Source organism: Homo sapiens, chromosome 3, assembly GCF_000001405.40.
Source record: "Homo sapiens chromosome 3, GRCh38.p14 Primary Assembly".
In the NCBI taxonomy this organism is placed as follows: domain Eukaryota; kingdom Metazoa; phylum Chordata; class Mammalia; order Primates; family Hominidae; genus Homo; species Homo sapiens.
The window spans coordinates 109,439,389-109,461,970 of NC_000003.12; the positions used below are offsets into that span (position 1 = coordinate 109,439,389).

Sequence of the window (22,582 nt, forward strand, 5' to 3'; positions counted from 1 at the left end):
CTGTTGTTTACAAATTACCCAGTCTAAGGTATTTTGTTATAGTAGGCTGAACAGGCTGAGACAGTCTTTTTTCTTATTTTCCCCATTAATTTTGAGGTAGGAGATGAGGAAGGAAACAGATAGATGGTCAGGGTTCTGAAGTTTATAATTCCAGTTCTTTTTTCTTTAATTTCCTTTCTCTTCCCATCAAGCTATGAATCCACAGCTGACTTTTCCCTTCATTTGCATTTCTTACATTTTAAGGCTATTTCCAAATTCTCAATATTTATCTCCTTCTACTCTAAAATTTTGGCACACTTTTCTTTGAAGAGCAGGTCAACATAAAAGAAAACTAAAAGTCAATCTTGATGTCATTGGTTGCAAAGTGTATGTCCTGCTTGATTCACATCATATTCTTATCACATTCTTTTAATCAGCTTAACATTTTGGGGAAATGTCCCTATAGGAATTTTCTTCTGTACTTTTCAGCTTTGTGGTAATTATCAATGTAGACATTAAACTAGATTTACAGAAAATCTATATTTATTCCAATAAGAACACCTCTATTTTGTTTGGATAAGCCATTGCTCTCTGGTGTTAAAATATACTCAAAGTAATTACACCATTAAAAGTTAATTTTGGCTCCACTTTAGAATCAAATCTGAGATTGGATTCATGTTTTCAATAACTTCAGTCCTGAAGCTTTGCATTTTTTAGTAAGTGTGGAGATGCATTTAGGAGGTTGAGCTTCTTGTTCATAACTGGTTTTGAATTGTTCATGGGCACAATAATCATTAGGAACAATAATCATAAGCAGTTATAAGTGCCAGAATGATAACTGCTTCCTTTCCTACTGCTGTTGTAACAAAATATTATGAACTGAGTTGCTCAATGCCACACAATTTTTTTCTGTTACAATTCTGGAGTCAAAAGTCCAAAAATCAAACTGGGTAGGCTAAAGTCAGCAGGGCCATGTTCCTTTTTGAGGCTCTGGGGGAGAATTTGTTTCCTTGTCTTTTCTATCTTTTATTGGCTGCCCGTATCCCTTGACTCCTGCCCCTTTCCCTGCATCACTCTGACCTCTATTTTTGTTGTCACTTCTTATCTCTGACTTCGATCTCTTTCCTCTGTCTTTTAAGAATCCTTGTGATTACATTGGGCCGCCTGGATAATCCAGGATAATCTCTCCCTGCCAAGATGCTTAGCTAAATCACATCTGCACAGTTCCGCACAGTTCCTTTTGCCGTGTAAGGTAACATTCATAGGTTCTGGGGATGTGGGCACCTTCGGGGACCATTATTATGCCTAGCCACACCAACTCTAAGTTAAACAAGAAAATAGCACATCGAGTTCAGAGCCCCATGTGATGTCACTAAGGCTCCCTCTCTCTCATTTATGTTCTTTTGTGTTGGTCTCCTGTTCAGGCAAGATCTTCCTATAAAGTGAAAAAAAATGGTCACTAGAAAACATGACCTAAAATTCTATCAGTGTCTCATTCTCAAAAGTTTCAGGGATGACTTTGTCAGAGTTTATATTTTCATGTTCCTTCTGTAGACAATCTGCAATCTCTGATTCTTATTTGGCGGCCTTAATTGAGGAGAGGAGCAAGTTTATCCTTACTTAAGCCTCATGAACTTAACTGTGAAGAAAGGGTGGTTTGCCTAATGAAAATTGATCTGCTTTTACCAGAAGAAGAGAAAATGGGATATTGTGTAGAAAAACTAATATTCATTCAGTACATACTCCTTAGGATGCAGGAATCTATGTGTTTTCTTTGAAAGGTTTATGATTCACAGAACACTTTAAAGCCCAAGAAACTTTATTATCAGGCTCACAAAGTTGATCTAATTCCTCTAGAAAGACCCAGCATTGATTCCTCTGGGTGAAAGGCACTAATTCATTATCAATCATCATTATCAGGGTGTACACATGATTTAGGTGCTTTGCCATTCCCCTTCTAGGCAGTAATGAAAGTAGCTAAACATGGGAATTTCTCTATGCCTTGTCTATAAAGCATTGCTCAGAAGAGAAGGGTTACTTCAAAAAAGATTTCTTCTTATTCACAGTAACAAAAATGAATTCCCCTCACACCTCCCCCATATAAAAAGTGAAAAATAAAATAAAACTTTATAGATAAGGCTAAATTTCAATAGATAACCCTCTCCTACTTCATAGTGTTCCCCTTCTGATTCCACAGCCATCAGCTGGGTTTTCAGACATTGTTCTGAACATATAAAGTAGGTTATATATAGGTTACTTTGAAAGCCTTAAATGACGTGATGTTTACCCTACATTAGAAGTTATACTTTATTTGATTATAATTGATTCAATCTTCTATTAGAAGTTATAATCAATCCTATTACCTATTCTATCATGTAAGTTTCTACAATGAAGAAAAGTTTTCTTGTCTTCAATTACTTGGGAAATGAGAAAGAAAACAAAGTTTGTTTATTATATAACCATTCCAGATACTTGATCAGATTGACTTTCACTTGTATCTGGGCAAAGCTCATACTAATTCTTTTAGTTTTTCCCTCTAGGTCAACTTTTCTAATTCTTTCATTATCTTTGGTTGGGGAAATGTCAAAGATACTTTTAGACAAGTAGGTAATTTACTAAAACATTTTCATTTCTAAAATTTTAACTATATACAAACCCACATATAAGCTACACAAGATGACTCTTGTATATCTATTCTTCAGTTTCAGTACTTACCAACTCATGACTAAATTATTTTAAAACAAATCTCAGACAAAAATTTAATTATAAAGATAATTATTTATAAAAAAATACTATTGACCAAGGAGGTGGAGCAAGATGGCTGCATAGAAGCCTCCACTGATTACCCTCCTGACAAAAACACCAAATTTAACAACTATCTCCACAAAAAAGCACCTTGTTAAGAACCAACAATCAGGTTAACGATCACAATACCTGGCTTTAACGTCATATCACTGAAAGGCACTGAAGAGGGTAGGAAAGACAGTCTTGAATTGCCTGCACAACCCCTTCCTCATCTCTTGGCAGTGGCAATGTGGCACAAAGATGGGTGTCACATGGGGTGTGCTTGGCGGAGGGAGACTGCAGCAATTGTGGGACTTTGCATTGGAACTCAGGGCTGCCAATACCAGGCAGAACTCAGCCAAAACCCAGAGGAAGCATTTAGACTAGCCCTAGCCAGAGGGGAATCGCCCATTCCAACAGTCAGAACTTGAGTTTCAGCAAGCTTTGCCATTGTGGGCTAAGAGGCTCTGGGGTCCCAAATAAACCTGAAAGGTAGTCTAGGTTGCAGTTCCAGGCAAGCCTCTAATTCCTAGGCAAACTCCAATGCTGCGCTGGGCTTGGAGCCAGTGGACTTGGGGGACACCCAGCTTGTGAGTCACACGCTGGAGTGGATAAGGGAGTACTTGCATCACCCCTCCCCTCAACCCCAGGCAGCACAATTCACAGCTCCAAAAGAGACCCTTCCTTACCCTGAGGAGAGGAGAGGGAAAAGTAAAGAGGACTTTGTCTTGCAACAGGGAAACCAGTTCGGCCACAGTAGGACAGGGCATCAAGCAGGGTTGTGAGGTTCCCCATTCCAGGCCCTAGCTCCCAGATAACTTTTCTTTTCTTTTCTCTTTTCTTCTCTTTTCGTTTCTTTTATTTCTTTTCTTTCTCTTTCCTTCTTTCATTTTTCTTTCTTTTTTCCTTCCTTCCTTTCTTTCTTTTTGAATATAACATTGAGGCTTTTTTTTTTTTTTTTTGGACAGGGTCTGGCTCTCTGGCTCTGTCACTGTCCCCCAGGCTGGAGTGCAGTGGCACGATCTCGGCTCACCGCAACCTCCGCCTCCCAGGTTCAAGTGATTCTCCTGTCTCAGCTTCCCAAGTAACTGGGATTACAGGTGCCCACCACCATAGAAAATACTATTTTTTTGAACTTTTAGTAGAGATGGGGTTTCACCATGTTGGTCAGGCTGGTCTCAAACTCCTGGCCTCAAGTTATCCACCTGCTTCGGCCTCCCAAAGTGCTGGGATTACAGATGTGAGCCACTGAGCCCAGCCACCATAGAGCTTTAATTATGATTCAGCATTCAAAATTGCATTTACAGACAAATGTTCAGTTATTAATGGAAGGAATGTGTCTATAATTATGGGCCTGAGGTTCTGAAAACTTCATACCCTGCCCCATGAGCAGCAAGCAAAATGGAACAGGTGGTTTTTGTTAAAGAACAAGTTTTTAAAAAAAATTTATTTATTTATTTATTTAGAGATGGCATCTTGCTTTGTTGCCCAGGCTGGAGTGTGGTGGCATGATCTCAGCTCATTGCAACCTCCGCCTCCCAGGTTCAAGCGATCCTCCTGCCTCAGCCTCCTGAATAGCTGAGATTACAGGCATGTGCCACCATGCCCGGCTAATTTTTGTATTTTTAGTAGAGACGGGGTTTCACCATGTTGGTTGGGCTGGTCTCGAACTCCTCACCTCGTGATCCACCTGTCTCGGCCTCCCAAAGTGCTGGGATTACAGGCATGAGCCACTGTGCCTGGCCAAAAATTTATTTTTTATTTCAATAGATTTTTAGGGAGCAGGTGGCATTTGATTACATGAATAAGGTTTTTAGTGATAATTTCTGAGATTTTAGTGCACCTATCACCTGAGCAGTGTACACTGTACTGAGTGTGTAGTCCCTGATGACATTTCTAGACACACCTTGTGCTAGAAGGAAACCCGCTGCCTTAAAGGGAAGGACCCAGTTGTGGCAGAATTCATCACCTGCTGACTAAAGAGCTCTTGAGTCCTGAATAATCAGCAGCAGTAACCAGGTAGTGCATAGTGTGAGCCTTGGGTGAGACTCTGAGATGTGCTGGCTTCAGGTGTGACCCAGCATATTCACAACTGTGGTGGCTATAAGGAACAACTCCTTCTGCTTGAGAAAAGTAGAGGGAAGAATAAAGGGGACTTTGTCTTGCAGCTTAGGTACCAGCTCAGTCACAATGGGGAAGAACACCAAGTGGGCCCTTGGGGTCCCCGATTCCAGGCCTTGGCTCTTGGATGGCATTTCTAGACCTACCTTGGGCCAGAGGGCAGCCCACTGCCCTGAAGAGTGAGTCCCAGGCCTGGTAGCATTTCACACAAGCTGACTGAAGAGCCCTTGGGCCTTAAATGAACATCAGCAGTACTGTCCAAGGGCCTTGGGGGTGGTGGATATGGAGACAGACTTCCCTGGTTGGAGAAACAGGAGTGGGGAGGGAAAAGGACTTTGTCTTGTGGTTTTGGTGCCAACTTAGCTACAGCAGAATAGAGTACCAGGTAGATTTTTAAGGTTTACAACACAAGGCCCTTGATCCTGGACAGCAACTCTGGACCTGCCAGGGCCCAGGGGAACTTACCACTCTGAAGAGAAGAACACAGACTGGCTGGTTTTGCCATCTGCTGGTTGTAGAGCCCTAGGGCCTTGAGCAAACATAGGCAGTAGCCAGGTAGTGGTTACAGTGGGCCTTGGGAAGACCTAGTACCGTGCTGGCTTCAGGTCAGATCCAACATAGTCCCAGTGGTGGTGGCCCCAGGCGTGCTTGTGTCAGTGCTTCCCCAGCCTCAGGCAGCTCAGCACAGAGAGAGGGAGTCCATTAATTTGAGAGAAATAAGGGAAGAGAACAAGAGTCTCTGCTTGGTAACCCAGATAATTCTCTTTCAAAATAGTTATTTTTTTATTTGTTTGAGACAGAGTCTCACTCTGTCTCCCAGGCTGGAGTATAATGGCATGATCCCAGCTCATTGCAACCTCCATCTCCTGGGCTCAAGTTATCTTTCTGCCTCAACCTCCCAAGTAGATAGGACTTACGGGTGCACACTACCATGCCTGGCTAATTTTTGTATTGTTTTGTAGAGATGAGGTTTTACTATGTTGCTCAGGCTGGTCTTGAACTCCTGGGCTCAAGCAATCCACCTGCTCAGCCTCCCAAAGTGCTGGAATTGCAGGTGTGAGCTACTGAGCCTGGCCTCAGAGAATTCTTCTGGCTCTTATCCAATACCACCAAGGCAGTACCTCTACAAATCTGTAAGAACCACAGCATTGCAGTGCCCCCTAATGCGGATACAGCTACAGTAACTAGAAACTTAGATTACAAAAGCAAAGTCCCTTTGAATAGATGAAAAACCTTCCCGAGAAGGAAGGGTACAAATAAGCCCAGACCATGAAGACTACAATACCTAACTTTTCGATGTCTAGACACTGACAAACATCCACAGACATCAAGATTATCTAGGAAAACATGACCTCACCAAATGAACTAAGTAAGGCACCAGGAGCCAGCCCTGGAGAGATAGAGATATGTGACTTTTAAGACCAAGAATTCAAAATAACTTTTGAGGAAACTAAGAAATTCAAGATAACACAGAGAAAAAATTCAAAATCCTATTAGATAGATTTAACAAAGAAATTACAGTAATAAAAATAATCAAACAGAAATTCTGGAGTGGAAAAATGCAATTGCCTTACTGGAGGATGCATCAGAGTCTCTTAATAGCAGAATGCATCAAACAGAAGAAAGAATTCAGGCTACTTGAAAGTACACGGTTAGAGGAGACAAAAGACAAAAAAATAAAAAAACAATGAAGCACAGTTAAAAGATCTGGAAAATAGCTTCAAAATGGCAAATCTGATAATTATTGAACTTATAGAGGAAGAAGGGAGAGAGAGATAGGGGGCAGAACATTTATTTAGAGAGATAGTATCAGAGAACTTCCCAAACCAGAGAAAGATATCAATACCCCAATGCAAGAAGGTTATTGAACACCAAGCACATTTAACCCAAAGAAGACTACCTCAAGAGATTGAAAAAACTCCCAGAGGTCAAGGATAAAGACAGGATCATAAAAGCAGGAAGAGAAAAGAAACAAATAACATACAATGGAGCTCCAATACAACTAGCAGCAGATTTTTCAGTGGATCGCTTACAGACCAAGAGAGAGTGGCATGCCATAGTTAAAATGCTGAAGGAAAAAAAATTACCCTAGAATAGTATATCTGGCAAAAAATATCCTTCAAATATGGAGGAGAAATAAAGACTGTCCCAGACAAACAAAAGCTGAGGTATTTTATTAACACCAGACATGTCCTACAAGAAATGCTAAAGGGAGTACTTCAGTCTCAAAGAAAAGGATGTTAATGAGCAATAAGAAATCATCTGAAGGTACAAAACTCACTGGTAATAGTAAGTACATGGAAAAACACAGAACATTGTAACACTGTAACTGTGGTGTGTAAACCACTCTAATCTTAATTAGAAAGATGAAAAGATGAACCAATCAAAAATAATAACTGCAGCAACTTTTCAAGCCATAAACTGTACAAGGAGAAATAAATAGAAACAACAATTTAAGTTAAAAAGCAGGGAGATGAAGTTAAAGTTTTTATTAGTTTTCCTTTTTCTTTCTTTCTTTTTTTTTGAGACGGAGTCTCTCTCTATCACCCAGGCTGGAGTTAAAGTATAAAGTTTTTATTAGTTTTCCTTTCTCTTTCTTTTTTTTGAGAGGGAGTCTACCTCTACCACCCAGGCTGGAATGCAGTGGCGCATCTCAGCTCACTGCAACCTCCACCTTCTGGGTTCAAGCAATTCTCCTGCCTCAGTCTCCCGAGTAGCTGGGATTACAGGCGCCTGCCACCACAGTCGGCTAGTTTTTGTATATTTAGTAGATAGAGTTTCACCGTGTTGGCCAGGTTGGTCTTGAACTCCTGACCTCAGGTGATCCACCCACCTTGGCCTCCCAAAGTGCTGGGATTACAGGTGTGAGTCACCACACATGGCCTAGTTTTCTTTTTACATGTTTGTTTATGCAATCAGTGTTAAGTTGTCATAAATTTAAAATAATGGGTTATAAGATATTATTTGCAAACCTCATGGTAACCTCAAATCTAAAAACATATAATAGATACACAAAAAATAAAAAGCAAGAAATTAAAACATACCACCAGAGAAAATTGCTTTCACTAAAAGGAAGACAGGAAGGAAGAAAAGAAGAAAGAAAAGACCACAAAACAACCAGAAATCAAATCACAAAGTGCAGGAGTAAGTCCTTACTTATCAATGATAACATGGAATGTAAATGAACTAAACTCTTCGACCAAAAGACATGGAGTGGCTAAATGGTTTAAAAAAGAAAGACCCAATGATCTGTTGCCTACAAGAAACCATTTACATTGTCTATGTGTGTCTTTATAGAAGAAATAAAGAAGAAATAAAGGTGTGTGTCTTTATGAAATAAAGGGATGGAAGAAGATATTCCATGCAAATAGAAACCTAAAAAGATCAGGAGTAACTATACTTATATTAGACACAATAGATTTCTATACAAAATCAAAAAAATAGAGAAAAATAAGACCCTTATATAATGGGTCAATAAAGGATAAATAAAAAGGGCATACTAATTGTAAATATATATGCAGCCAGCACTAGGGCACCCAGATATATAAAGCAAATATTATTAGAGCTAAAAAGAGACAGACCCCATTACAATAATAGCTGGAGACTTTAACATTCCACTTTCATCATTGGACAAATCATCCAGACAGAAAATCAACCAAGAAACATCAGACTTAATCTGCACTATAGACCAAATGGACCTAATAGATATTTACATGCTATTTCATTCAATGGCTGCAGAATACACATTCTTCTCAGCACATGGATCATTCTCAAGGATACACCATATGTTAGGCCACAAAGTTTGAAATATTCAAAAAAATTTCTAATAATATCAAACATCTTCTCTGACCACAATGGAATAAAACTAGAAGTCAATAATGAGGAATTTTTGAAACTATAGAAAAACATGGAAATTAAGCCATATGCTTCTGATGACCAGTGGGTCAATGAGGAGATTAGGAAGGAAATTGAAGTTTCTTGAAACAAATTATAATGGGAAAACAATATACCAAAACCTTTGAGATACAGCAAAAGCAGTACTAAGAGGGAAGTTTATAGCTATAAGTTCCTATATCAAAAAAGAATAAAAACTTCAAGTAAACAATCTACTAATGCATGTCAAAGAACCAGAAAAGCAAGAGCAAACCAAACCCAAAGTTAGCAGAATAAGAGAAATAATGAAGATCAGAGCAGAAATAAATGAAATTAAAATGAAGAAAACAATATAAAAGATTAATGAAATGAAAGTTTTTTTTAAAGCCGGGCGCAGTGGCTCATGCGTGTAATCCCAGCACTTTGGGAGGCCGAGGCGGGCAGATCACAAGGTCAAGAGTTCGAGACCATCCTGGCTGACACAGTGAAACCCCATCTCTACTAAAATACAGAAAAAAAAAATTAACCAGGCGTAGGTGGTGCACGCCTGTAGTCCCAGCTACTTGGGAGGCTGAGGCAGGAGAATGGCCTAAAACCTGGGAGGCGGAGCTTGCAGTGAGCCGAGATCGTGCCACTGCACTCCAACATGGGAGCAGAGCAAGACTCCGTCTCAAAAAAAAAAAAAATGTTTTTTTAAAAGATAAAGAAAATGAACAAACCTTCAGCCAAACTAAGAAAAAAAGAAGATCCAAATAAATAAAATCAGAGATGAAAGAGGAGACATTCCAGCTGATAACACAGAAATTCAAAGGATCATTAGAGACTACTATGAGTAACTATATACCAATTAATTTTAAAACCTAGAAGAAATGGTCAACTTCCTAGACCCATACAACATACCAAGATTGAAGTACAGAAAAATATAAAACCTAAACAGGTCAATAATAAGTAATGAGATATAAGCTGTATCTGTTATCCCTTTGAATAAATGTTATACCCCTATCTGCTAATAGTTCTTACATTTGCCATTTTGAGGCTAATTCCTAGATCCTGTAAGTATATTTTATTGTTTTTTATTCTTTTGTCTACGCTGGCTTTGTATTTTCAAATAGCCTGACTTCAAGCTCACTATGTTTTTCTTCTGTTTGATTCATTCTGCTATTAAGAGACTCTGATGCAGTCTTCAGTATGTCAACTGCATTTTTTCCACTCCAGAATTTCTATTTGATTATTTTTATTATTGCAATTTATTTGTTAAGTCTCCCAGTGAAGAAAAGGTTGAGACCCAATGGTTTAACTGCTGAATTTCACCAAACATTTAAGGAAGAGCCAGTACCAATCCTACTGAAACTATTCCAAAAAATAGAAGTGGAGAGAGTAGCTTCTTCTTTTTTTTTGGAGTCAGAGTCTCGCTTTGTTGCCCAGGCTGGAGTGTGGAGTGCAGTGGTGTGATCTTGGCTCACTGCACCTCCACCTCCTGGGTTCAAGCAGTTCTTCTGCCTCAGGCTCCCAAGTAGCTGGGACTACAGGCACATGCCGCCACTCCCAGCTATTTTTTTTTTTTTTGTATTTTTAGTAGAGACAGGGTTTCATCATGTTGCCCAGGCTGATTTCAAACTCCTGAACTCAGGCAATCCACCCGCCTTGCCCGCCTTGGCCTCCCAAAGTGCTGGGATTACAGGTGTGAGCCACCGTGCCTGGCCAAGTATTTTCAAACTCATTCTCTGAGTCCAGTATTACCCTGATACCAAAACTGGATAAAAATATGTCCAAAAAGAAAACTAGGCTTGTTGTAATGGCTCATGCCTGTAATCCCAACAATTTGGTAGGGCAAGGCAGTAGGATCACTTGAGCTTAGGAATTTCAGATCAGCTTGGGAAGCATGGTGTAATTATGTCTCTACCAAAAAAACACAAAAATTAGCTAGATTTGATGGCATGTGCCTCTAGTCCCAGCTACTCTGGAGGCTGAAGTGGAAGGATCACTTGAGCCTGTGAGGTTGAGGCTGCAGTGAACCATGATTATGTCACTGCACTCCAGCCTGGGTGACAGAGTGAGACCCTCTCTCAAAATAAGAAAACCAGAGAAAAGAAAAAAAGAAAAGAAAGAAAGAGGGAGAGAAAGAAAGAGGGCAATATCGCTGATGAACATTGAGGAAAAAATCCTCAGTAAAATACTAGCAAGCCAAATTCAACAATGCATTAAAAAGATCATTTATCACCACCAAGTGGGATTTGTCCCAGTATGCATGGATGGTTCAACATATGCAAATGAACCAATGTTATATATCATACCAGCATAATGAAGGACAAAAACCATATGATCATTTCAATTGGTGCTGAAAAAGCATTTAAGAAAATTTAACATCCCTTCATGATAAAAATCTTTAAAAAATTGGGTATAGAAGGAACATATCTCAACATAATAAAAGTCATATATAACAGACCCACAGCTAGTATGATACTGAATGGGGAAAAATGGAAGCCTTTCCTCTAAGATCTAGAACACAACAAGAATGCCCATTTTCATCGCTGTTATTTGATATTGTATGGGAAGTCCTAGCTACAGAAATCAAACAAGAGAAAGAAATAAAGGGCATCCAAATTGGAAAGGCAGAAATCAAATTATCCTTGTTTGCAGATTATATGATCTTATATTTACAAAAATCTAAAGACTCCACAAAAGAACTGTTGGAACTAGGCTGGGCACGGTGGCTCACGCCTGTAATCCCAGCACTTTGGGAGGCCGAGGTGGGTGGATCATGAGGTCAGGAGATCGAGACCATCCTGGCTAACATGGTGAAACCCCGTCTCTACTAAAAATGCAAAAAATTAGCCAGGCGTAGTGGCGGGTGCCTGTAGTCCCAGCTACTTGGGAGGCTGAGGCAGGAGAATGGTGTGAACCAGGGAGGTGGAAGTTGCAGTGAGCTGAGATCATGCCACTGACTGCACTCCAGCCTGGGTGACAGAGCGAGACTTCGTCTCAAAAAAAAAAAAAAGAGCTATTGGAATTGATAAACAAATTTAGTAAAGTCACAGCATACAAAATCAACACACAAAAGTCAGTAGCATTTCTATATGCCAACAGCAAACAATCTGAAAAAGAAATCAAGAAAGTAACCGCATTTACAATAGCTACATATAAAATTAAATATTTAGGAATTAACCAAAGAAGTGACAGATCTCTACAATAAAAACTATAAAACACTGATCAAAAAAATTGAAGAGGACACCAAAAAAATGGAAAGAGATTCCATGTTTATGAATTGGAAGAATCAATATTGTTAAAATATTCATACTACCCAGAGCAATCTATAGATTCAATGCAATCTCTATCAAATTACCAATGACATTCTTCACAGAAATAGAAAAAACTCCTAAAATTTATATTGAACCACAAAAGACCCCAAATAGCCAAAGCTATCCTAAGCAAAAAGAACAAAACTGGAGGAATCACATTACTTGACTTCAAATTATACTATAGAGCTATAGTAACCAAAGCAGCATGGTACTGGCATAAAAACAGACACATAGACCAATGAAACAGAATGGAGAACCCAGAAACAAATTTATATGTCTACAATAAACTGATTTTCAGCAAAGATGTCAAGACACACATTGGAGAAAAGACAGTCTTCAATAAACCATGCTGGGAAAAACACACACATGCATGTTTGCATTGCTATTGCATGCATGCATTATTCACGTGCAGAAGAATGAAACTAGACCCCCCCATCTCTTGTCATATACAAAAATAAAATCAAAATGGATTAAAAACTTAAATCTAAGACCTCAAATTATGAAACTACTGAAAGAAAACTTTGGGGAAAATCTCCAGAACATTGGTCTAGGCAAAGATTACTTGAGTAATACCCTATAAGTGCAGGCAGCCAAAGCAAAAGTGGACAAATGCGATCACATCAAGATAAAAAGCTGCACAGCAAATGAAACAATCAACTAAGTGAAAAGACAACCCACAGAATGGGAGAAAATATTTGCAAAGTACCCATCTAACAAAGTATATATGTATATATATATATATATATATATATATATATTTTTTTTTTTTTTTTTTTTTTTTTTTTTTGAGATGGAATTTTGCTCTTGTTGCCCAGGCTGGGGTGCAATGGTGTGATCTTGACTCACAGCACCCTCCAACTCCTAGGTTCAAGTGATTTTCCTGCCTCAGCCTCCCGAGTAGCTGGGATTACAGGCATGCACCACTATGCCTGGCTAATTTTGTATTTTTAGTAGAGACGGGGTTTCTCCATGTTGGTCAGGCTGGTCTTGAACTCCTGATCTCAGGTGATCTGCCTGCCTCAGCCTCCCAAAGTGCTAGGATTATAGGTGTGAGCCACTGCTCCCGGCCCTAACAAAAGCATTAATAACCAGAATATATAAGAAGCTCAAACAACTGTACAGGAAAAAAAATCTAATAATTTGATTTAAAAATGGGCAACAGATTTGAATAGACATTTCTCAAAAGAAAACACAGAAATGGCGAACCGTTATGTGAAAAGCTGATCATTGTCATTGATCAGTAGAGAAATACAAATTGAAACTACAATGAGATATAATTTCATCCCAGTTGGGTGGGGGGAGGGGGGAGGGATAGCTTTAGGAGATATACCTAATGCTAAATGACGAGTTAATGGGTGCAGCACACCAGCATGGCACATGTATACACATGTAACTAACCGGCACATTGTGCACATGTACCCTAAAACTTAAAGTATAATAATAAAAATAATAACAATAATAATTTCATCCCAGTTAAAATGGCTTTTATTGAAGGGAAGCATGTTTTGATCTGGATAGGAGTATTAAAAGATGTTAAATTGGGACTTTATTTTGGGTATTTGTTTTGTAAGACATCACAAAGGTGAAGAATAATATAACAGACATCAAGTGTCCTCTGATGAAATCATTTATTTTCTCCCTTCCTCCACTGCATTTTTGGGGATGGTGGTAGTACTGGAGGATTTTCAGAAGAAACAAGCTAACCCTATTGCCATTTGTCATATGTCACAAAAGTGAGGTGGGCCGGGGAGTGTACTGATTAACCCTATAACTTAGAAACATGGATTCTTGTGGAGGACAAACACTAATATGTCTTGGTGAATAACACAGCAGATAAAATAGAGCGCAATCTGGTCATAAATCCCTTGACTAGTGCCATCAATTGCTATGAGAAATTCCCTGAGAAATTTCCGGACAATTCTGTTTCCTGGATTCTGGGGGGTTTCTACCACTGAAGAACTCTGCCTGCTAGTGAGATGGCACATTGGTCAGGGTTCTTGTTGAAAGTAACAGAAGCCAGCTCTAACAGATACAAGTGCAAAAGGAATTTATAGAAATACATCAGAAAAAGAAAAGTAGTTATACTGGGTAGTTCACAGAGAAACTGGGAAGCCAGGAGAACCAGGCTGGGGCTGTGCAGGTGGAAAATGTGCCCTCGATTATGCCACTGAACTAGTCCAGAGATATGCCTGGGACATCCATGGGAGCTTGAGGCTTGCAGTATGTGCTGGTGACACTGCTGCTTGTGGACTCTGGTGTCACGGCTAGTGGTGCCATCAGAAGTAGGTGTTTTCTTTATTGCTTTTCTCAAATTTGGATGAGGTGAATCTGTAGCTCCACAGGATGGTGTAACGCCATTGAACATCTCACTGAATATCTTTTTGAAGTGTCCATTTTACTTGAATGTTTCATGCAAAAAATTTATGTTAAAATTAATATGCATACTAAAAATGGCTTTTATTCAAAAGCCAGACAATAACAAATGCTGGCAGGGATATAGAGAAAAGGGAACTCTTGTACATCTTTTGTGGAAATGTAAATTAGTACAACCACTATGGAGAACAGTTTAGAGGTTCCTCAAATACCTAAAAGTTGAGCTACCATATGATCCTGCCATTCCACTGCTAGGTATATACCCAAAAGAAAGGAAAACAGTATATCAAAGAGATACCTGTATTCCTGTGTTTATTGCAGCACTATTCACAATAGCTAAGATTCGGAAGCAATCTGTGTTCATCAACAGACAAATGGATAAAGAAAATTTGGTACTTATACACAATGTAGTACTTTTCAGCCATAAAAAAGAATGAGATTCTGTCATTTGCAATCACATGGTAGGAACTGGAGTTCATTATGTAAGTGAAATAAGACTGGCACAGAAAGACAAACTTCACATTTTCTCACTTATTTGTGTGAACTAAACAGTTAAAGCAATATGACTCATGGAGATAGAGAGTAGAAGGATGGTTACCAGAGGCTGAGAAGGGTAGTGGGAGGGTGTGTGTAGGGGGAAGTGGGGATGATTAATTGGTACAAAAAAATAGAATGAGTTAGACAGTATTTGCTGCACAACAGAGTGACTATAGTCAATAATAATTTAATTATACATTTATAAATAATTAAAAGAGGCTATTTGGGCTGACACTAAGAATAAATGCCTGAGGGGCTGGATACCCCATTTACCCTGATGTGGTTATTACACATTGTATTTCTGTATCAAAATATCTCATAGAGCCCATACATATATACACCTACTTTGTACTCACAAAAATTAAAAATTAAAATTAAAAATATAAAAAGTTATTCTTCTCACAAAACACTATTATCACTGTATTAGTCTGTTTTCACGTTGCTGGTGAAGACATACCTGAGACTGGGCAATTTACAAAAGAAAGAGATTTAGTGGACTCACAGTTCCACGTGATTGGGGAGGCCTCACAGTCATTTTGGAAGGCGAAAGGCACATCTCACATGGCAGCAGACGAGAGAAGAGAGCTTGTGCAGGGAGACTTCCGTTTTTAAAACCATCAGATCTCGTGAGACCCACTCACCGTCACAAGAACAGCTTGTGAAAGACCTGACTCTGAGGCAGAGTTCTTCGGTGGATTCAACCACCTCCCACCAGGTCCCTCCCACAACACGTGGGAATTCAAGATGAGATTTGGGTGGGGACACAGCCAAACCACATCAATTACTAATAAAAATAACTCCTTAAAGAAATAATTTATCTAGTAAATATTTAAAATCTCTTTCTTATCTCCTTCTTTTTAAAATTTTTTTTTGAACAAATAAGGTTGCCCTCCCTTGGTTGATCTAACTCTTACATGTCTTTTAATTAGTAGATTCCACTCTTCTTCATCTTTCTTTTTCCCCTCCCTTTATTTATTTATTTATTTCCTTGCAAATTGTTTGTGGAAGCAACTTGTTGTTTGTCCTGCAGAGATTCTGAGAGATTATATTTTGCTGCTTGTATCAACTATTTGACTTATTCTTTTATCTACATATTTTCTCTGCATTGATTATTAGAGCTATGTTCAGCTTATTATTTTTCTTTTGGTAAGAGAAAATTGTGGTGTTACCAGAAACCTTCTGGGGACTTACCAATATAGTGAAAAAAATTAATGTAATTTAGTTTGCCACAAGCAGAAATATTGAGGAAAAATATTTAGAAATATGAATACAATCATTCTACTTGCAATGTAAATACATTTATCTCAAAGTGGACACAGCCTGCACAAGTTGATCTTGGAAATGTTCCTTGCCTGTAATTATTTCCTGTTTATTCTAAAGCCCTGTTCTTGATATATTCCTCTTCTAAAAAAACCTATGTAAAAATCAGTCATACAAAAGAACACATATATGACATAATAAACATTAAGAGTAACAAAACATCCACCCCTATGCTTATCTTGTGCTTATATTCTTTTTTTTTTGAGAGAAGCATTGCATTTTTATTTATTTATTTATTTTTTATTTTAATTTATTATTATACTTTAAGTTTTAGGGTACATGTGCACAATGTGCAGGTTTGTTACATATGTATACATGTGCCATGTTGGTGTACTGTACCCATTAACTCGTCATTTAGCATTAGGTATATCTCCTAATGCTATCCCTCCCCCCTCCCCCCACCCCACAACAGTCCCCGGTGTGTGATGTTCCCCTTCCTGTGTCCATGTGTTCTCGTTGTTCAATTCCCACCTATGAGTGAGAACATGTGGTGTTTGGTTTTTTGTCCTTGCGATAGCTTGCTGAGAATGATGATTTCCAGTTTCATCCATGTCCCTACAAAGGACATGAACTCATCATTTTTTATGGCTGCATAGTATTCCATGGTGTGTATGTGCAACATTTTCTTAATCCAGTCTATCATTGTTGGACATTTGGGTTGGTTCCAAGTCTTTGCTATTGTGAATAGTGCCGCAATAAACATACGTGTGCATGTGTCTTTATAGCAGCATGATTTATAGTCCTTTGGGTATATACCCAGTAATGGGATGGCTGGGTCAAATGGTATTTCTAGTTCTAGATCCCCGAGGAATCGCCACACTGACTTCCACAATGGTTGAACTAGTTTACAGTCCCACCAACAGTGTAAAAGTGTTCCTATTTCTCCACATCCTCTCCAGCACCTGTTGTTTCCTGACTTTTTAATGATCGCCATTCTAACTGCTGTGAGATGGTATCTCATTGTGGTGTTGATTTGCATTTCTCTGACGGCCAGTGATGATGAGCATTTTTTCATGTGTTTTTTGGCTGCATAAATGTCTTCTTTTGAGAAGTGTCTGTTCATATCCTTCACCCACTTTTTGATGGGGTTGTTTGTTTTTTTTTTGTAAATTTGTTTGAGTTCATTGTAGATTCTGGATATTAGCCCTTTGTCAGATGAGTAGGTTGCGAAAATTTTCTCCCATTTTGTAGGTTGCCTGTTCACTGTGATGGTAGTTTCTTTTGCTGTGCAGAAGCTCTTTAGTTTAATTAGATCCCATTAGTCAATTTTGGCTTTTGTTGCCATTGCTTTTGGTGTTTTAGACATGAAGTCCTTGCACATGCCTATGTCCTGAATGGTATTGCCTAGGTTTTCTTCTAGGGTTTTTATGGTTTTGACTTTAACATTTAAGTCTTTAATCCATCTTGAATTAATTTTTGTATAAGGTGTAAGGAAGGGATCCACTTTCAGCTTTCTACATATGGCTAGCCAGTTTTCCCAGCACCATTTATTAAATAGGGAATCCTTTCCCCATTGCTTGTTTTTCTCAGGTGTGTCAAAGATCAGATAGTTGTAGATATGCGGCATTATTTCTGAGGGCTCTGTTCTGTTCCGTTGGTCTATATCTCTGTTTTGATACCAGTACCATGCTGTTTTGGTTACTGTAGCCTTGTAGTATAGTTTGAAGTCAGGTAGCATGATGCCTCCAGCTTTGTTCTTTTGACTTAGGATTGACTTGGTGATGTGGGCTCTTTTTTGGTTCCATATGAACTTTAAAGTAGTTTTTTCCAATTCTGTGAAGAAAGTCATTGGTAGCTTGATGGGGATGGCATTGAATCTGTAAATTACCTTGGGCAGTATGGCCATTTTCATGATATTGATTCTTCCAACCCATGAGCATGGAATGTTCTTCCATTTGTTTGTATCCTCTTTTATTTCATTGAGCAGTGGTTTGTAGTTCTTCTTGAAGAGGTCCTTCACGTCCCTTGTAAGTTGGATTGCTAGGTATTTTATTCTCTTTGAAGCAATTGTGAATGGGAGTTCACTCATGATTTGGCTCTCTGTTTGTCTGTTATTGGTGTATAAGAATGTTTGTGATTTTTGTACATTGATTTTATATCCTGAGACTTTGCTGAAGTTGCTTATCAGCTTAAGGAGATTTCGGGCTGAGACAATGGGGTTTTCTAGATATACCACCATGTCATCTGCAAACAGGGACAATTTGACTTCCTCTTTTCCTAATTGAATACCCTTTATTTCCTTCTCCTGCCTAATTGCCCTGGCCAGAACTTCCAACACTATGTTGAATAGGAGTGGTGAGAGAGGGCATCCCTGTCTTGTGCCAGTTTTCAAAGGGAATGCTTCCAGTTTTTGCCCATTCAGTATGATATTGGCTGTGGGTTTGTCATAGATAGCTCTAATTATTTTGAGATACGTCCCATCAATACCTAATTTATTGAGAGTTTTTAGCATGAAGCATTGTTGAATTTTGTCAAAGGCCTTTTCTGCATCTATTGAGATAATCATGTGGTTTTTGTCTTTGGTTCTGTTTATATGCTGGATTACATTTATTGATTTGCGTATGTTGAACCAGCCTTGCATCCCAGGGATGAAGCCTACTTGATCATGGTGGATAAGCTTTTTGATGTGCTGCTGGATTCAGTTTGCCAGTATTTTATTGAGGAATTTTGCATCAATGTTCATCAAGGTTATTGGTCTAAAATTCTCTTTTTTGGTTGTGTCTCTGCCTGGCTTTGGTATCAGGATGATGCTGGCCTCATAAAATGAGTTAGGGAGGATTCCCTCTTTTTCTATTGATTGGAATAGTTTCAGAAGGAATGGTACCAGTTCCTCCTTGTACCTCTGGTAGAATTCGGCTGTGAATCCATCTGGTCCTGGACTCTTTTTGGTTGGTAAGCTATTGATTATTGCCACAATTTCAGATCCTGTTATTGGTCTATTCAGAGATTCAACTTCTTCCTGGTTTAGTCTTGGGAGGGTGTATGTGTCGAGGAATTTATCCATTTCTCCTAGATTTTCTAGTTTATTTGCATACAGGTGTTTGTAGTATTCTCTGATGGTAGTTTGTATTTCTGTGGGATTGGTGGTGATATCCCCTTTATCTTTTTTTATTGCGTCTAGTTGATTCTTCTTTCTTTTCTTCTTTATTAGTCTTGGTAGCGGTCTATCAATTTTGTTGATCTTTTCAAAAAACCAGCTCCTGTATTCATTAATTTTTTGAAGGGTTTTTTGTGTCTCTATTTCCTTCAGTTCTGCTCTGATTTTAGTTATTTCTTGCCTTCTGCTAGCTTTTGAATGTGTTTGCTCTTGCTTTTCTAGTTCTTTTAATTGTGATGTTAGGGCGTCAATTTTGGATCTTTCCTGCTTTCTCCTGTGGGCATTTAGTGCTATAAATTTCCCTCTATACACTGATTTGAATGTGTCCCAGAGATCCTGGTATGTTGTGTCTTTGTTCTCGTTGGTTTCAAAGAACATCTTTATTTCTGCCTTCATTTCGTTATGTACCCAGTAGTCATTCAGGAGCAGGTTGTTCAGTTTCCATGTAGTTGAGCGGTTTTGAGTGAGTTTCTTAATCCTGACTTCTAGTTTGATTGCACTGTGGTCTGAGAGACAGTTTGTTATAATTTCTATGCTTTTACATTTGCTGAGGAGAGCTTTACTTCCAACTATGTGGTCAGTTTTGGAGTGGGTGTGGTGTGGTGCTGAAAAAAATGTATATTCTGTTGATTTGGGGTGGAGAGTTCTGTAGATGTCTATTAGGTCTGCTTGGTGCAGAGCTGAGTTCGATTCCTGGGTATCCTTGTTAACTTTCTGTCTCGTTGATCTGTCTAATGTTGACAGTGAATAAAAGTCTCCTATTATTATTGTGTGGGAGTCTAAGTCTCTTTCTAGGTCACTCAGGACTTGCTTTATGACTCTGGGTACTTCTTTATTGGGTGCATATATATTTAGGATAGTTAGCTGTTCTTGTTGAATTGATCCCTTTACCATTAGGTAATGGCCTTCTTTGTCTCTTTTGATCTTCGTTCATTTAAAGTCTGTTTTATCAGAGACTAGGATTGCAACCCCTGCGTTTTTTTGTTTTCCATTTGCTTGGTAGATATGCTTATATTCTTAAATAAGAATAATAAAACATCCACCCCTATGCCAGTATCTTTGATGTTCCTTGGCGTCCTTCCCTAATTCCATCCTTTTTATTCTCTTCCAGGTGTTTATAATTCCCTTGGTTTTCTTCACAATTTCACCACATAAATGTGAGTTTTAAAATAATATATTTAAAATTTTTCTTGTTTACCAAAACTTTATTTAAATGATATAATGTATGTTTCAATTATATATGATATTTCTGTGACTTGCTTTTTTTGCTCAGTAGTATGCCTTTTTGATTTGCCTAGGTTAGGGTTTCTCAACCTCCACACTACTGAAATTTTGGACTGGACGATTCTTTGTTGTGACAGTCTGTCCTGTGCATCATAGGATGTTAGGTGCATAACTAGTCTCTAGCCATTAGATGCCAGTGACTTGACCCTAGCCGTGGCAATCACAAGTGTGTCCAGACATTGCCAAATGTCACCTGGGTGTTTGAGTTTGTGTTGGGGTGGCAGATTCCCTCGGTTGAAAAGTATTGGTCTATGTTGCTGTGTATGGATGAATTTCATTCAATTTCACTGATACAGATCATTTTATTAATATTACCTGAATATGCACCTGTTGATTTATCCATTCTTCTGTTGATGAAATTTGCATTTTCCCATGGTTTAGCTATTACAAACCATGCTATTGTGAATGTATCTATGCATAGCCCCTGGTATGTGTGTACTATAATTCTTCTAGGGGTGCATATCTAAGGATTAAAATATTGGCTTATGAAGTTTACCCATCTTCAACTTCAAAGATTAGGCAAAAACATTTTACAACTTTCTCTTTTTTTAAATTTACAGACAAGACAGACAGACAGACACATACACACACATGCACACATTTCCTAATCTCTTGTTTTGTAAATATTATAACACAGGACAATAGTATGCATGCACCCAATAGAAACAAACATGATGGTAAAGTCAAAGTTTCTTTTCTAAGATGCTAGAAGATGATCAGTTCAGTTTAGCATTTCTGGAACTCAAAATCTCACATCTATCTCCCCATAAATTGTGGTGTGGGAAATAATACCAAGGATGGAGCAAAAAAGAATTGTGAAGCTCTAAAATTTTCCTTCGTTTATTCAGTATGTAATTGCTGCTCCTCTACTATGTGCTTGGCACTGTCAGAGTCATCATGGTGAATAAAACACCATTCCTTCCTCAAGAAACTCGTATTAGTCAGCTAGAAATATATTAACAATTAAATTTAAAATAACAAGATATGAACAAAGAAAAAGGACCAGAAGAGTACAAATGAAGTGCCAAATTCAGTTAAAAGGGTAAAGAATAACTTCACCTAAGAGTGGCATTCATTCATTCATTAACTCAACACATATTTATTGTGTTCTTACTGTGCTCCTGGCACCGTTTTGGGACTGTTAATATCCTGCTGTGTCAACAAAGCAGTCACACTCTCATGGAGCTGACATTCTAGTTAGGGGGAGACAGACAGTAAGCAAACACAAATCACCCTGAGGTAGAACTCAGCTAGGCGTATGTGGGGAATAGGGAGATTAATAGGAGAGCTGGGCTTTGAAGGGTCACTAGGAGTTTTTGTGGTGGTTGTAGGGAATACGGGCAGCAGGAATATCATGTAGAAGCACAGAATATCCAAGAGTAGGGAATAGGGGGTTGTTCTGGCTTCTTAGGTATGTGGAAAAGGCAAAGGATAGGAAGGATTTTCTGGGAGAAGAGATGGGATTGAAAGAGGAGATGGGGTATAGAATGCTTATTATTAAGAAAAAAAAAAACTTCAAACATGCCACAAAAGTAGAGGAAATACTATACTGAACCCCTGTATCTCAATTGCCTAGATTTTATAATTATCAAGAATTTGCCCTCTTCCTTCTTCTATCCTCCTTTCTTCTTCTCCTCCTCCTCTTTTTTGCTAAAATATTTAAAGCAAATCTCAGACATTATGTAATTTCCCTAACATAACTCAGAATATATTTCTAGAGTTACATGAATTTTTGAAAATATAACCATAACATCATTATCACATTTGCCAAATTTAATGAAATTTCCTTGCAACATTCAATAGCCAACCCATATTGAAATTTAGCACATTGTCTGAACCAATTTTTAAACTGATTGATGTATTCAAATGATTATCTAAATGAGTTCTACTGTTTGTATTTGGCTATTAAGTCTTT

The 22,582-nt window shown here is 38.4% G+C and overlaps 1 long non-coding RNA gene across 1 annotated transcript in view; it reads left to right on the forward strand.

Annotated features, from left to right (window-relative positions):
• Positions 1 to 22,582, forward strand: part of LINC01205 (long intergenic non-protein coding RNA 1205) — an 85,178-nt gene that overhangs the window by 29,399 nt on the left and 33,197 nt on the right. Inside the window, exon 3 of the long non-coding RNA NR_109841.1 lies at positions 20,495 to 20,540. This is a non-coding gene — a long non-coding RNA (long intergenic non-protein coding RNA 1205). The remainder of the gene's footprint in view (positions 1 to 20,494; positions 20,541 to 22,582) is intronic.